Source organism: Homo sapiens, chromosome 9 (assembly GCF_000001405.40).
Source record: "Homo sapiens chromosome 9, GRCh38.p14 Primary Assembly".
NCBI classification, from domain to species: domain Eukaryota; kingdom Metazoa; phylum Chordata; class Mammalia; order Primates; family Hominidae; genus Homo; species Homo sapiens.
Window position 1 is genome coordinate 14533684 of NC_000009.12, and position 15162 is coordinate 14548845.

Here is a 15162-nt window from a genome sequence, read left to right on the forward strand (position 1 = left end):
TTTTTTTTTTTCTTTTCTTTTTTTAATTCCCAGGCAGGAGGGGGTTTGAGGGGACTGAAATGCCCCACCCAGGTCTCTGCCTTTGAAGTACCCCATGCTCTGGGTTCCTCCTTTTTTCTCTCTCTCCCTACTCCATTCTTCACCTTATTTGTATTTTTTTCCCCCTGAGCAATGATTGGGTAGCGAGCCTGTTAATGTTGATCGTATTTTCCTGTTTTAATTTTCTCAGATGGCAGCAATGATGCTGAATGCCTACTATGTGCCAAGCATCACAGTAAACACTGGGGCTGTGAAGGGCAATGAGATACAGTCTGTGTCTCATCAATCTCACAACTACGTTCACCCAATGTCGTCACAGGCAGGAGGAAGTCCAGTTGCTGTGACAGCAGCCAGGGAAAGAGATGGGGCCAGAGACCTCCTCGGGCTGCTCAAGGCCAGCAACTCCCCAGGCACTTCCAGAGCTGCCTTTGGGGCAGCTCTCTGGCCTGGCGGCGAGGGCAGCGTGGCTACACACTTCCTCCTCTCCCTGCAATCAGCGCCTGCCTCAGCCTGGCTCCCTCAGGTGCTCTAGGTGGAAGGAGGATTCCCACCTGCCATTCCCTCCAGCACCGCCTTCCAAGAGCTCTCAGGAAGCAGAGGTCAACTTTGGGGTGCTGGCCTGAAAGCGCCCGCCCACCAAGGCTTTACAGATCCCCTGGGCATCCTCTCATCATCGAGGCACTCTGTGCAGCCCATACACACGCGGACCTGCTGGGAGGCTCGTTATCACTGTCACTGTGGGGACCCCTCCTTTTGATGAGTTGATTACACAAGCAGGAAATGCCGAAAGATGATAAGGGAAGCAGGGGAAGGAGCGGCCAGGAGAGAGAGGCTGCAGCATTTATGGAGAAAACTGGGATCCGCAAGGAACAAAGAGACGGGGACAGAAATGACAAACCTGTGCCCTTCCCCTTCTGTGAGGCTGGGGAACGCCAGAGGACAGCTGACCGGGGGTCACCGGCAGAGCTAAACAGGAAACAAATCCCGAACTGGGGCTAGCATTCCCAAAAGGCATGTCCAGGGGCTGAGCACTCCTCCGTCGGGGGCCTGCGGGGCGTCTTTCACTGAGAGTGAAACTTATAAGCATGCCGGTGTAGCCCATAACCTGGGGAGATCAGGCCAACGGGGCTCTCAGGTGGACGCCAGTTGTGACTGGCTTCATTGACTGAACTCATCTCACCTGATACCGTTCTAAAGGCTAACTGGATGTTTAAAAACACGAAGTAACTTCAAAAGCACTACTGAGGGCTTCATGTACACTTTGGGGGGTGATTACATCTTGCCTTGCTTAAATCCCTAAAATACCCCAAATCTCAGCTCTTCCTCTCCAATTCCTTTTTCCACAGCGTCTGCGCCTGCCTACAGTTCCACTTCCCCCACTTCTGCAGCCTCCCCTCCTACCCTTTAGCCATGGCTGCCTCTAACAGCCTTTTCCAACTTGCACACCTCACTAGCTAGAACAAATGTTTGGGAAAAGCCAGGTCTGTAGCCCAAAGCAATCACCAACTGTTGCTCAGGCATGCCCTGGCAGTGCTTTAATTTCCGTCACCACTGGCAAATAAACTAGTGATCTGCCTAGAGCTGAGCCTGAGGACAGTAACCTTCGCAGAGAGGCTACAATGCGTCTCTCACTGCCTTCAACTATTCACAGTCACCGCCTCTTCAACAAGCAAGATGGACTGTGGCCAACGGGCACTGTCCGAGAAGCCAGGGTCCAAATCACAGCGTTGTTCCCTACTAGTTGTGTGACCTCTGGGCAGGACTCTTAACTTCTGTGCCCATAAATAGCCCCAAATCGCATTGCTAATAACTAAGAGAGAATGAGAGAGAAAGCAGACAGGGGGAAAGAAGTCTCACTTCACCACGTAGAGGAGAAGGGGAGATATAAATATAATCAGAGAGGAAAACAGATATAGAGACCGAGAGAGAAAAATAGAGAGGAAAAGCAGAGTGAGGAAGTGAAAATGAAGCCATTCAGATGTCCTCACAGTCTGCTCTCTTTGCCTCTGCCCAGGGCTCTAGCTGGCTTCTCATCCATCCCCTGCACCTCCCCAGGCTCTGGGGCTGGCTTAACTCCCTTCCAGCTCCGTGGATAGGAGTGATCAGTGCTCAGGGATCTTGACCCATGGAGCCAACAGGTTTAGAGGCGATTTGGGGAATCATTTTATTAAGCTATTTTGTGATTTATTTTATTTTTAGCTTTTTAGCTCTGTCAATTCCAGTCTAATCCTGTACTGAGTCTAGGAGCCCTGTGCTCACAAACATAGTAATAGGTCATAGTACAGCACATAGAGAAACGAGCTCCCGTTTGGGAACTAGTCCTGAGTTCTGGTCTGCCACTTGCTAGCTGGGGGAGCATGCACAGGTTACTTAAACTTTGTAAACTTCAGATTCTTTACCTATAAAAGGGGGCTGAGAATAGTATCCCTCACAGGGTCGTCGTGAGGATGAAATAAGGTCATGCATGAATGTGTTTGGAGCCTTGATGGTGGCGATGGTTTCATGGGTGTATACTTACTCCCAAACTCATCAAGATGTATACATTAAACATGGATAGCTATTTATATAGCAATCATATCTTCATAAAGTACTTTGAAAATTACGCAAAGCTCCATTCCTAGCTGTAGCTAATGATTAGAATCAGTATAAATTTTAGCACTGGTATTACCTCCTCCAACTCCATTTTTAAAGTGAGAGAACTGAGATTTACCAGAACTCACACAGATAATCAGCAGAAGAGTTAAAATTAAGCCTTTGCTCCTTTGCCACTTCATATAGTGCTGCTTCTTTCTCCATACCATCAGGAAGAAAGATGAGATTAAGACTTGGGTTGAGGGTGGGGGTGTTTTCTTTTTAATGCGCTAGAGACCACAGGGAGGATGAACTGAGTTAGCAAAGCTGAGAACAGAGCAGTCTGGTGCGAAAGCTTAGGAAAAACAGATGAAGACTTTCTTTCCCTAAGCCACAGGCGCCATGAAGGCAGGGACAAGAAGGGCTGAGTTTGCTCATCATTCACGCCCAGAGGCTGGCGCACAAACACTCGAACATCTGTCGAGTGAATGAATGACCTCAGACCGTAGGGGTGGCCATAAAGAGTCATTAGAGTACAGAAGAGCGGGCCTTGGGTGTGCAGGCTGATGGAGAGAGGAGTCTGCAATGACTTCTGGGTTTCAGGCTCAGAGGTCCTGGTGGAGCCAAAATGCAAAGTGTGGGAGAAGGCAACTCCAGCTAACAGTAACAAGTGAATATTGCCCATTAAGAGCCTGTTTGGAGTAGTCAGACATGTTATCCAATCATTTCCCTGGACCTGGCAGAAACAGAGCGTCAGTCAGGGGAATTTAGGTGAGCCTTCGACTGGGCCCATGGTCAGCATGAGGGTAGCAGAGAACGTGTAGCAAGCCAGGTGATGAGACAGAGACATCTTCAATCCCTCTCATTCTCCTCCGAGGGAAGAAGTCGAGCTTTCCATTCTTTCTGAGGTTCAGGGAGGGACCTGTGGCCATTCTAACAGCTATTTCTCCTCAGCCTCTAGCACTGTTGTCATACTCTGCAATCTCCCTCCAGCCAGTGTCCTGAGGGGTCTGGATTTTGCAGAGAAGAGATGGATCCAACATTAAGACTACAAGGGCCTCATCTCTAGTACCTGAGCCCATCAAAATAGCCAGTAGCAATCCCCAGGGCCCCACCTTCACTTTCTGCCCTTGGTGATGCTGTCTGGAGGAGGCCTGGAGCGAGTCGGCCTCTCTTTTAAAAATAAGTCAGCACTGAGCAGATCCCATGCCACGGACAGTGCTTACCCACTAGGGAGGACTGGCTTCCCACCCACCTGCATGGTGGGTTCCGGTAGTCCTTCCCACTGCCTCCCTCGAGATCTCATTGCAACTGATCTCTATCATCCCTAAGGACTCCCGGAGGAAGGCCCTGAGTCTCATTCAGCATGCTGGATAAAAGGCCATTTTTGAGACAAGTAGCAGAATTTTTACCTTCCTAAACAAGAAGATTAAGCACTTAAGGGAATGGAAACAACTGATTATTAAAGTGGGAGACATACCGGTGATGATAAGATCCACCTCCAGCTTCTCCTGGAGAAGGTGTTTGTTTACAGACAAGGATAATTTGATTAAAACCACGAACAGAGTCTGAGAGTCTGAGCTTCCCTTAGAAAAGGTATTTTTTTTTTTTTCTTTTGAGAAGTCAGTCTGGAATTGCAGTGTGCTCATTCTTATACTAACTTTTCTTTCCAAAAAAATGCCATGTTTCCTAAAAATAAGGGTTTGAAACATTTTCTCTCTTATTATGTTGCTGTTTACAAGAATATACGGCAGCTATGGCTACCGACACAGAAATATTTTTTACTTTGATTCTGGGTAAGGAAAAGAAGTTTGCTGGACAGCATGATCCTGTTTTTGATAAATAACACAACCATATCCATATACTCATTTGTGCATAGGAAAAATATTAGAAAAATGTTGACTCAATTACTGAGGAGGAACATGCGCTTTTGTATACATTTGTACTCTTTGAAATTCCATAATGTTCATGTATCGCATTTGTAAATAAAAACAAAAAGTAAGATGAAAGGTGCGTGGCACCTCCCTGTACCTTTTTTTTTTCTTTGCAACTTCCTTTGAATCTACAAATGATTTCAAAATACAAAGTTGAAAAAAAAAAAGTAAATCAATACACTTTTCCATCTCAATGTTTGAATATCTGAACACTAAAGCCGGTGATAGGCAGACTCTAGAGGACTGCCTAGTGCTACAAGCAGTCCCAGTCCATGAGATCTGAGCAGTATTCTCCCTTCATGCTTTCAGAAGGCAGAGAATAAGATAAAAAATGAAAGCACTAGTGAAGGCGGAGTAATAATATACTGCCATGTTGCCCCTTTCTAACAAGGCAAATCTTGCCAAGCGATAGGCGGGTTTCACAAATAAGCCTCCTAAAGCCACTCAGGGAGGCTGGTGCAAGTTCAACACATGAGTAACACAGATAAACATGAAACCCCCAAGCCTTGATGGAAAGCAGTGATAGGTGGCCTGGAATGCCCTCCAGTGTGAAAGTTCTTATGAACAAACAAAGGCCGCTGCAGATTTCTTAATGACTGACAAAGTCTCTTACTGCTGGGCTCCTTAAGGGCAGGGTTATCTCTTTAAAGCTGCCATTAAGAGGCAAATCTCCCCATATGCCCACCCCCCCACCCTCCCAACCCCACCTCTTTCACTCCCCTTCTCAACGCCTTTGCCACACACACATGTTGTAAGACAAGTAAATTCTGGTGCCAATGAACTCAGGAAAACGAGAAGGAAAAAAAGAAGGCCCCCATAGGCAGTGTGGGGTGTGTGTGCATAGATTTGGAATTAGAGGAGAGAGGGAGGAATGGATAGCAGAGTTTTATGGTTTCACCTGCTTTTGTCAAAGTGGCAGCGGAACTGATTACAATAAAAATTTTCATTCATCAGGCAGTCTTCATTCTTTCAGCAAATATTTATTGCTTACCTGCCATGTGCCAGATAGTTTACTAGGTACTGGTGAGCAAAAATATACATGCTCCTTGCTCTGGAGGAACTTACAGCTCGGGGGACGGGGAGGAATGACATTAATCACACATTCACGTTGAGTATATACAAAATTACACCTATGATGGATGCTTTAAAGAAGTGCTATGAAAATGCGTAACTGGGAAGGCAGTTGATTTGTAAGAGTTAGGGAAATTGGGCCGGGCGCGGTGGCTCACGCCTGTAATCCCAGCACTTTGGGAGGCCGAGGTGGGTGGATCATGAGGTCAGGAGATCGAGACCATCCTGGTTAACACGGTGAAACCCCATCTCTACTAAAAATACAAAAAATTAGCCAGACATGGTGGCAGGCGCCTGTAGTCCCAGCTACTCGGGAGGCTGAGGCAGGAGAATGGCATGTAGATTTTTTAGGATTTTCTTTGTACACAAGTATGTCATCTGTGGAGAAAGAGAATTAGACTTCCTCCTTTCCAAGCTGTGTGCTTTTTACTTCTTTTTCTTTCACTATTTCAATGGCCACAATCTCCATCTACAATGTTGAATAACAGTGGTGAGAAAATACATTCTTGTTCATTTCCAATCTTAGGTGGAAAGCCTTCAATATTTCATCAAGGTTAATGTTAGCTATAGGTTTTTATAGTGGTCTTGATTAAAGAAATTCTGTCTATTCTTATTTTGCTTAGAGTTTTCTTTTTGAAAAAGTCATAAATGTAAATCTAATGTTTATCCTGCATCTACTGAGATGATCATAGACTTCTTCTCTTTTAATCTCTTAAGGTTGTGGATTACTAATTAATTTTGCAATGTTGAACGACTCTTGCATTCTTGAATCCTGCTTGGTTGAGCGTTTATTATTCTTTCTATAAATTGCTGGATTTGATTTGCTAAATATCCGGCAATTTGATTTGTCAAGGATTTTTGTGTCTATATTCATATTGAGTATTTGTCTGTAATTTTCTTTTCTTGGAATAGTCTTGTTTGGTTTTGCTATCAATGTAATGCTGGCCTCAATAAATAAGCTAGGAAGTCTTCTCTCCCTCTCTATTTTCTGACACAGGTTGTGTGGGAGCATTATTATTTCTTTAAATATTTGATAGAATTTACCAGTGAAGCCATATGAGTCTGGAGTTTTCTTTCTGGAAAAGTTTTAAATTATGAATTCAAAGTCTCTAGCAGCTATAGGCTATTCAGATTCTATTTCTTATCAGGTCAGTTTTGGTAAAATGTATTCCAAAAAGTTATCCATTTTATCTGCCAAATTAACTGACATAAAATTGTTTATAATATCTTCTTATTGTGTCAGTGTCAATGGGTTCTGTCATGATAACCCTTCTTTCATTCATTCCTAAAAGTGGTAATTCTTTTTCTCTTTTTTTCTTGATCAGTCTCGCTAAGGTTTTGTCAATTTTATTAATCTTTTAAAAGCTCCCACTTTTGACTTTGTTGGTTTTCCCTATTGCTTTTCTGTTTTATTTTTCATTTATTTTACATCTTATTTTTTAGAATTTCCTTTTTTAAAATTAACAGTTGATTGAATCTGCTCTTTGTTCTGTAATTACTTAAGATTGACCACAGATCACTGATTTCATCTACTTATTTTGTTCTAATATAGGCACACACTCTCTTCCAAGCCAGCCTCCTCTCTTTTCACACAAAACTGACTATTCTTTATCCATTGCTCTACTTGTGGCCGCCTTTGGTTATATAGAAATCGAATCCTTTCTCACAAAATTGTCTTTTCAATATCTGAAGTTGGCTATTATAATATCTCCCAATTTTCTGTTTTTCAGGCTAACCATGCCATGTGATCTTGGGGGAAAAACTAGGAGCAAGTCAAATATTCTTTTATATCTGAACTCAGGTATTCTTTTAAATTTTAAATCTTAATTTTGCAAAAATGTGAGCAAAACAAGAAGTTTCTTATAGAACAGCCATTCTGTGACTGAAAGCATCAATTCTGCATTCCAACAGACAGGTCATTCTGCAATATTTTAAAATGCCACAAATTGCAAGCTCAGAATGCCGTGAAGCTCAGGAAACTGACATGGTAGAGCAGAGCACGACAGTCTACAGTTGTGCTGCCCAATATGGTAGCTACTAACCACAAATGTGATTGGAGTCAGGCAGACTTTGGGTTCAGCTCCAATTCTACCACTTGAAAACATTATTTAACCTCTTAAAGTCTGTTTTTTTTTTTTGTTTTTTTTTGTAAAGTGAAAGTAGTAGAATTCACCCCATATAACCCATTCTTGTAATGAGTCCATGTGATTATGTGTGTTTAATAAAAGTAAATACATATACCTAATCAGAAGATGAGAGATTAAGTGAGAGGGCTAATAAGAAACATAAATTTGGGGCAGACCTTTAAAAACCTTTGCATTTTGTAACTGAAGCACCAACCAAAGCAATGATCACCAGTAGGTGGGGAGAGACTTTGCTGCCCTGCAAGGCCGCCAACATGGCCACAGACTCTCACTTCACATATTAAAAATGTACAGAAATAACGGGGTAGAAATGCTGAAAATTAGAGCAAGGCTGACAAGAGATAAAGCAATGCAATTAGAAGTGAAGTTGTGAGTCAGTAGGGCCACCCATGAAGGTGGGCATGGAGGCAATGCAAGTCGCCATCAGCCAGAAGCCACACAGGCCTGGCCTGCCAGCACAGAGGTCAGTTCCTATTTTGAATCTGTAAAAATACAATTGACAGGGACTCCTGATGCCCGTGCAGCAGCCAAGCTAAGGGTTTCTCTTTTTCCCAATGAATATTTTCATTCTACTGTTATTATTTGAGGTCCCTTCAGATAAATCATGTATGAGCCAACACTATGTCTTCCTTATACCAACATCATTTCTCTTTGACCAACTGTTCATGAACTAATTCACATTTACACACAATAGCAGGCCTGAACACTGAGGAAAAAGAACTGGGCTTAGAATCAAAAGAACCTAAATTCAAGCCCCGGCTTTGCCATTCACTAACTTTGACAACAGCACATTATCATTCAGCCTCTGTACACTGCAGGGTCCTCGCCTGCACCTGCTCCTGCTGTGTGGTGCTGGCGGGAGGTCTGGATGAAGACGCTGTGGAGGGCTGCACAAATGGAAGGGATTTCCCAGGAGGATGGCATTTGAACAAGGTTTCTGACAGGCTGTGCTTCAGCTTTCAAAGTCCCAGTAAGCTGTAGGAAGCACAGGTGTCCTCCTTCACTCCCATCTCCCTGCATCACCAAGGTACTCAGCCTCAAACGCCACCACCGCTGCCCTGTTCTTGCTGCCTTCTAGGGATCTCTGTAGCCTTGGAAAAGTACAAGGGATGCTTATCAAAGAACTCCACAGATGTCTGGGCCAACAGAGAGCCATTTTGTTTTTGACTTATGCACTTTACCATAAATTCTGCAAATGAAACAACACTTGAAAAACAAAACCCCAAAACCTCCTCTCCTGCCTCATCACTGTCCCTTCAGGCCGAATCCATTCATAAGTCCCATCTGGACCTCCTGCCTCTAAACAGAACCCCTGCCCTATTCATGGTGAAAGTCAGTGTTTCAGAATGGACCCACTTCCTCTCCCCTTCTCATTCCAACACAAGGAGATGGTGGAAAAGAAAGATGACTCAATGCTACTTTAAGTGCTTTGGAGACAGCAGGCCAATTTTACACTGGGTTTTTAGTGTCCGTGGCTGGAGATAAAGGGCTCTTTCTCTGATCCTGCTGCCCTTCTGCCTCCCACCCTTCTTTCTCCTCCATCTCCTCCTCTGCTTTCCCCACTTTGCCCATCTCAGACCATATTCACAGAGAAAGAATAGTAACCCCTTGCCCTACCAGACAAATGTCATTTCCACAAGTACAAAGGCAACGTGGCCATTCATTTGTTGTTTTGCAGAGTGGCACACACTAGACAAAGTCTAAAAGATGCTCAGAGAAGGCTGGCTTTTCAGAGGGCTCAGCTTCCCAGGTGTCATTGTGTAACTGGAGAAATGTGGACAGAGAGTTTGAAAGCCATGCTCCTTCTCACACAGCTGCGTGCACTGCGATAACAGACTTCTCCCCCATAGGCTTCCATCCGTTTCGTCTCTAATGTGGGGGCGGTGAGCAATATAATAATAATAATAATAACTATCATTTAATAAGATTTCACTATGTGCCAGGGATTGCACTAAACTTTCACATGTATTGCCCCACTAGTATTATCTATTACCTTTCTACTGATAAGGAAAACAAAGTTGAGTGTAGATGAGAAAATCTGCCCAGGCTCATGGAATAAGTTCTGTAGAAGTGTGATTTGCATCCAGACCTGCTCCAACGCCTGTATTGGAGGCCTCTGTGTCTATGATCACCATTTATTCTCTGAAGACCCCTTTGGCCTTCACCCACCTAAGTTGGCCAATACTTGCAATGCATACTTTCCTCTGTGATCTTCACGAATCACACTGCAATGCAGATATGCTTGCTTACCTGTGTCTCCAGCTAGACTCCAGCCACATCTTCATAAAAACAGGGCCTAGGACATGTGTATTCAGAGCACCCAGCACAATTCTTGGCACATAATAGGTCATAAAGATTTGAGGAACAATGAGTTCCTGAGCATCTTATTTGGAAGCACTAGTTCGACTTAGTAAACTGGTGCACTGTTCTCTTTTTGAATCTCAGTACTGACACCCACCCAGTCCCATAATACTTGTAATTCAGCCTCCAAACTTCTCTTTCAGGGAGGGGTAGAGAAAAAGGGGCATTTACCAGAGCCGTGAGACAATTTCTACATGATTTAAAAAGAGAGTGTTTAGCACAAACCACATTATTTTAGTCTTGCTGTCATATCTATCTGCTCCTTCAATATATTTAGACTTAAAGGTGATGTTACAATGAGAAACAGCCAGAAAAAGGCATAGGCCAATAAGATATGAATTTCCAATAAAGGATAGACAGTTGTGTACACATTTTAGAACACACATTGAAGAGAAATGTGCTTCAGTCTGATTATATATAGCTTTGAGGAATTTGTTCCCATACTTACTGCATGGTATTAAACAACCCAAGATAAATCTTTGGTGACTCCAAGAAAGAGGTTCGACTGTAATTATGGATTAACACACACCCACAGTTAATAATAGTTGCTTCAGTTTAGCATCAGTGCAACCATTTACACTGATAATATATTAAACACTACTTTTTTCTCCCAGGCACAGTGAATGACTACTAGGGCAGGATCACCTTCCACTAAGCAGATGTCATAGCTCCAAGCCTCTAATCATTTGTAACCATTAGGGAAAACATGGGGCTGAACCAATTAAAAAAATAAAAACTATCCCAAAGCTCACAAAACCACATAATTACATTGCATCACTTAGCATTTTGACTGACTGTTTGGAAAACCTGATACAAAGGCTCACAGGCTGCCTCAAATGCCTCATAAACGTGGTAACTTTACCTGTGTAAACCCACCTAAAAAATTTGTTTCCACATCATGTACGGAGGGAAAGGTGAATAAATACAGATACACGGAGATTGGTAGAAAAGTAGAGACAAACACTAGTGTTATTTTCCCAATCTGAGACTATTTGTTGTTACTTTTTCATCACTGATGTTTTAAATTTTCCATAGCAAAATGACATTTTACTTGTGGAAAGACCATCGGCATGGCCACGCCATTCCTTTCAGAATTCCTAACTGTGGAAGTTTAAAGTACTTAGCTCACTAGTAATAATCAGGAGACAGAGTTTAAAATCAGGTTTTCTTCTGTCCAAAGACATATCACCTAATCATTTTGGTAATCTGTTTTTCCATCACTAAAAAGGGATTGTTTATCTCAAGATTAGTCAGAATTTTACATACACTCTGGAAAGGATATTGAGCTATTTAATAAAAGTCATAATAAAAACACTACGCAGGCACTGGGGAGAATGGGAAGTGCAATGTGTTATCATTGCATTATGTTTTTACGTTGAGCCAGAAGGCATTTTTTCTCATGCACTAATTTTGCCGCCTCCCGCCACCCATATCAATACTATCCCTGGGCACTTGTAACGTTCTTTCCATCCTAGGTCTTCTCACATTACTTTGCCTCCTGAGAAGACAAAAGTACGTCTGCAGCCAAGTGCTCTCAGATCTCATTCACGAACACAGATCCTTCATGGGAACCCGAGTAGGATAGAAAAGGGCTGTGACAGAGGCAAAAAATTAAATAATAATGAATGTTTCATGGAGGCCAACAACCACAGAGAGGACAGTGGAAAGAGAGAGACACAGAAGCAGAGCCCATGGGCAGGGGTGCAAAAGAAGTCTCAGAAAGCAGAGGTGAGGGGAGAAATGGAAAGAAGACGGTGCTAGGGAGCCGGATGTATATACAGATGATGGCTTTTTAAAAAGCTAGTTCCCAAAGAAATGATAAATGTTGGAGATGATGGATATGCTAATATCTCTGATCTGATACATACATTACATATATCAAAACATCACTATGTACCCCATGAATATGTACAATTATTAGTTGTCAATTAAAATAAAATTGTCAGTTAATTAAAATATTACTTATAGAAATCAGACTTGATTCAGTATTTCTTCTCTTCAAAAAAAACCCAAACTCTTATTATTTCTTTTAATCCAAGTAGACAGATAAGACAACAGATATAAGCAAAAAAATTATTTTTAAAATTTAAGAAATCATCAAAAATAACCACTCTTAACATTAGAGTATAACCTGGCAGACACATTTATAGTTAAAAACAAAAAGAAATCATATTCGACATACTGTTTCATAATTGTCTTTTTTTCACTTAGCACATCAAGATGTTTTCTATGTCAGTAAATATGAATCCACATCATCATTTTTAACAGCAGTCTCATATTTCATTTGTATTAGGCCATCGTGCATTGCTATAAAGGAATACCTGAGACTGCGTAATTTATAAAGAAGAAGGTTTATTTGGCTCATGGCTCTGCAGGCTGTATAAGCATGGCACCAGCATCTGCTTGGCTTCTGGTGAGGCCTCAAGAAGCTTTTATTCATGATGGAAGGCAGAGTAGGAGCAGGCATGTCACATGGCTAGGGAGTGAGTAAGAGAGAGAGGAGAGGGAGGTGTCAGGCTCCTTTAAACAACTAGCTCTCCTGTAAACTACCAGAGCAAGAACTCACTCAGCTGTTCATGAGAGATGTGCCCCATAACCTAAACACCTCCCTCTAAGCCCATCTCCAACACTGGAGATTACATTTGAACACGAAATTTGGAGGAGACACACATCTAAACTATATCATTATGTCCCCGGTCCCCAAAATATCATATCCTTCTCATATTGCAAAGTACAATCATCCCTTCCCAGTAGTTCCCAACAGTCTTAACTCATTCTAGCCTCAACTCAAAAGTCCAAAGTCCCATGTCCAAAGTCTCATCTGAGACTGAGCCTGTAAAGTAAAAAACAAGTAATCTATTTCCAAGATACAATGGTGGTACAGGCATTGGGTAAACATGCCCTTTCCAAAAGGGAGAAATCAGCCAAAAGAAAGGAGCAATAGACCCTACACACATCTGAAACCCAGCAGAGCAGACATTAAACCTTAAAGCTCCAAAATAACCTCCCATGACTCCATGTCCCACATCCAGGCCACACTGGGGCAAAGGGTGGGCTCCCAAGGCCTTGGGCAGCTCCGCCTCTGTGGCTTTGCAGGGTACAGCCCCCACGGCTGCTTTCATTGGTTGAAGTTGAGTGTCTGCCGGTTTTCCAGACTCAGGGTGCACGCTGCTTGTGGCTCTACCATCCTGGGGTCTGAAGGGCACAGCAGTGTCCTGATGGGGACTCTGTGTGGGGAATAGGCAGTGTCCCAGTGGGGATTCTGTGTGGGGGCTCCAACCCCACATTTCCCCTCATGCCCTAACAGAAGTTCTCTGAAGGGGATCTGCCCCTGCCGCAGGCTTCTGTCTGGGCATCCAGGCTTTCTGATACTTCCTCTGAAATCTAGGCGGAAGCTGCCAAGTCTCCCTTAGTCTTGTATTCTGCATACCAAGTAGAAACCTCCAAGGCTTATAGTGGCTTGCGCTCTTCAAAGTGGCAGCCTGAGCTGTACCTTGGGCCCTTTGAGCTGAGGCTGGAAATGCAGCAGACTGGATGCAGCAGTAGCCTCCTGAGGCAGCAGAGAGCAGTAGTAGCACTCTGGGCCTGGCTCCCCAAACTGAGGGGCTGCCTCAGAGACTTCTGAAATGCCTTCATGGCCTTTTCCCCATTGTTTTGGTTATTAGCACCTGGCTTCCTCTTAGTCATGCTAATCTCTTCAGCAAGCGGTTGTTCCACAGCCTGCTTGGATTCTTTCTCTATCACATGGCCAGGTTGTGAAGTTTCCAAATGTTTACGCTCTGCTTCCCTTTTAACTATGAGTTCCAACATTAAGTCCTTTGCTCCCAAATCTGAATGTAAGTCGTTAGAAGCAGCCACCCCACCTCCTGAATGCATTTCTGCTTGGAAATTTCTTCCAACAGACACTCTAAATCATCACTCCTAAGTTCAACCTTCCACAAATCCCTCAGGCATGGACACAATGCGCCAGGTTCTTTGCTAAGGAATAACAAGGGTGACCTTTGCTTCAGTTCCCAATGACTTCCTCATTTCCATCTGAGACCTTGGTAGCCTGGTCTTCACCATTCATGTTTCTAAAAGCATTTTAGAATGCTTCACAACCACTTAACCAGGCTCTGAGAGGCTCCAAACTTTCCCTTGTCTTCCTGTCTCCTGAGCCCTCCAAACTCTTCCAACCTCTGCCTGTAACCCAGCTCCAAAGCTGTTTCCACATTTTCAGGTATCTTTGTAGCAATGCCCCACTCCTTGGCACCAATTTTCTGAGTCAGTTTTGAGTTGCTAAAAGGAATACCTGAGACTGGGTAATTTATAAAGAAAAGTGGTTTATTTGGCTCATGATTCTGCAGGCTGTATAAGTATGGCACCAGCATCCGCTCAGCTTCTGATGAACCCTCAGGAAGCTTTTACTCATGGTGGAAAGTGAAGAGGGTGCAGGTATGTCACACAGCGAGAGAGGGAACAAGAAAGAGAGATGGAGCAAGACAGAAAGAGGGAGAAATATAGACAAGAGGACGAGGTGCCAGGCCCCTTTAGAGAACCAGCTCTCACATCAACTACCGGAGCAAGAACTCACTCATTGCCATGGGAGGACACCAAGTCATTCACGAGGGATCTGTCCCCATAACCCAAACACCTCCCACTAGGCCCGCCTTCAACACTGGCGGATGTATTTCAACATGAGATTTGGAGGGGACACACATCCAAACTTTATCACCGTTGTATGAATTTAACCAACCTATATGTCTTTCTGGTAAACATATAGGTGGATTGTTGATTGGAAATTACAAATAATGCCTTATCAATTAGCTTTCACCGTGTAATAAACAACCTCACAATTTCTCGACTTACAAGAACAACATTTCTTTTTTTTTTTTTAGTTCATTATTCTGTGAAGCAACTAGGGGTCCTCTCTCCATGTGGTTTCTCATCCATAGTGGTCCAGCCTGGACTTCTTCACCAGTGGTCTCAGAGGCTTGGACAGCAAGCTCCAATGTGCAAGTGCTTGTTAAGCCTTAGCTTCTAATATACTTAGTAATGTCTTT

General features: G+C 43.3%; 1 annotated feature.

The window, feature by feature from the left end:
- Positions 13357-13959: an enhancer, noted in NCBI's record as "OCT4-NANOG-H3K27ac-H3K4me1 hESC enhancer chr9:14547038-14547640 (GRCh37/hg19 assembly coordinates)". NCBI's record gives its function as "activates a minimal SCP1, AML or CMV promoter by ChIP-STARR-seq in primed H9 embryonic stem cells {active_cell/tissue: H9 hESC(primed)}" and the evidence as "EXISTENCE:reporter gene assay evidence [ECO:0000049][PMID:30033119]".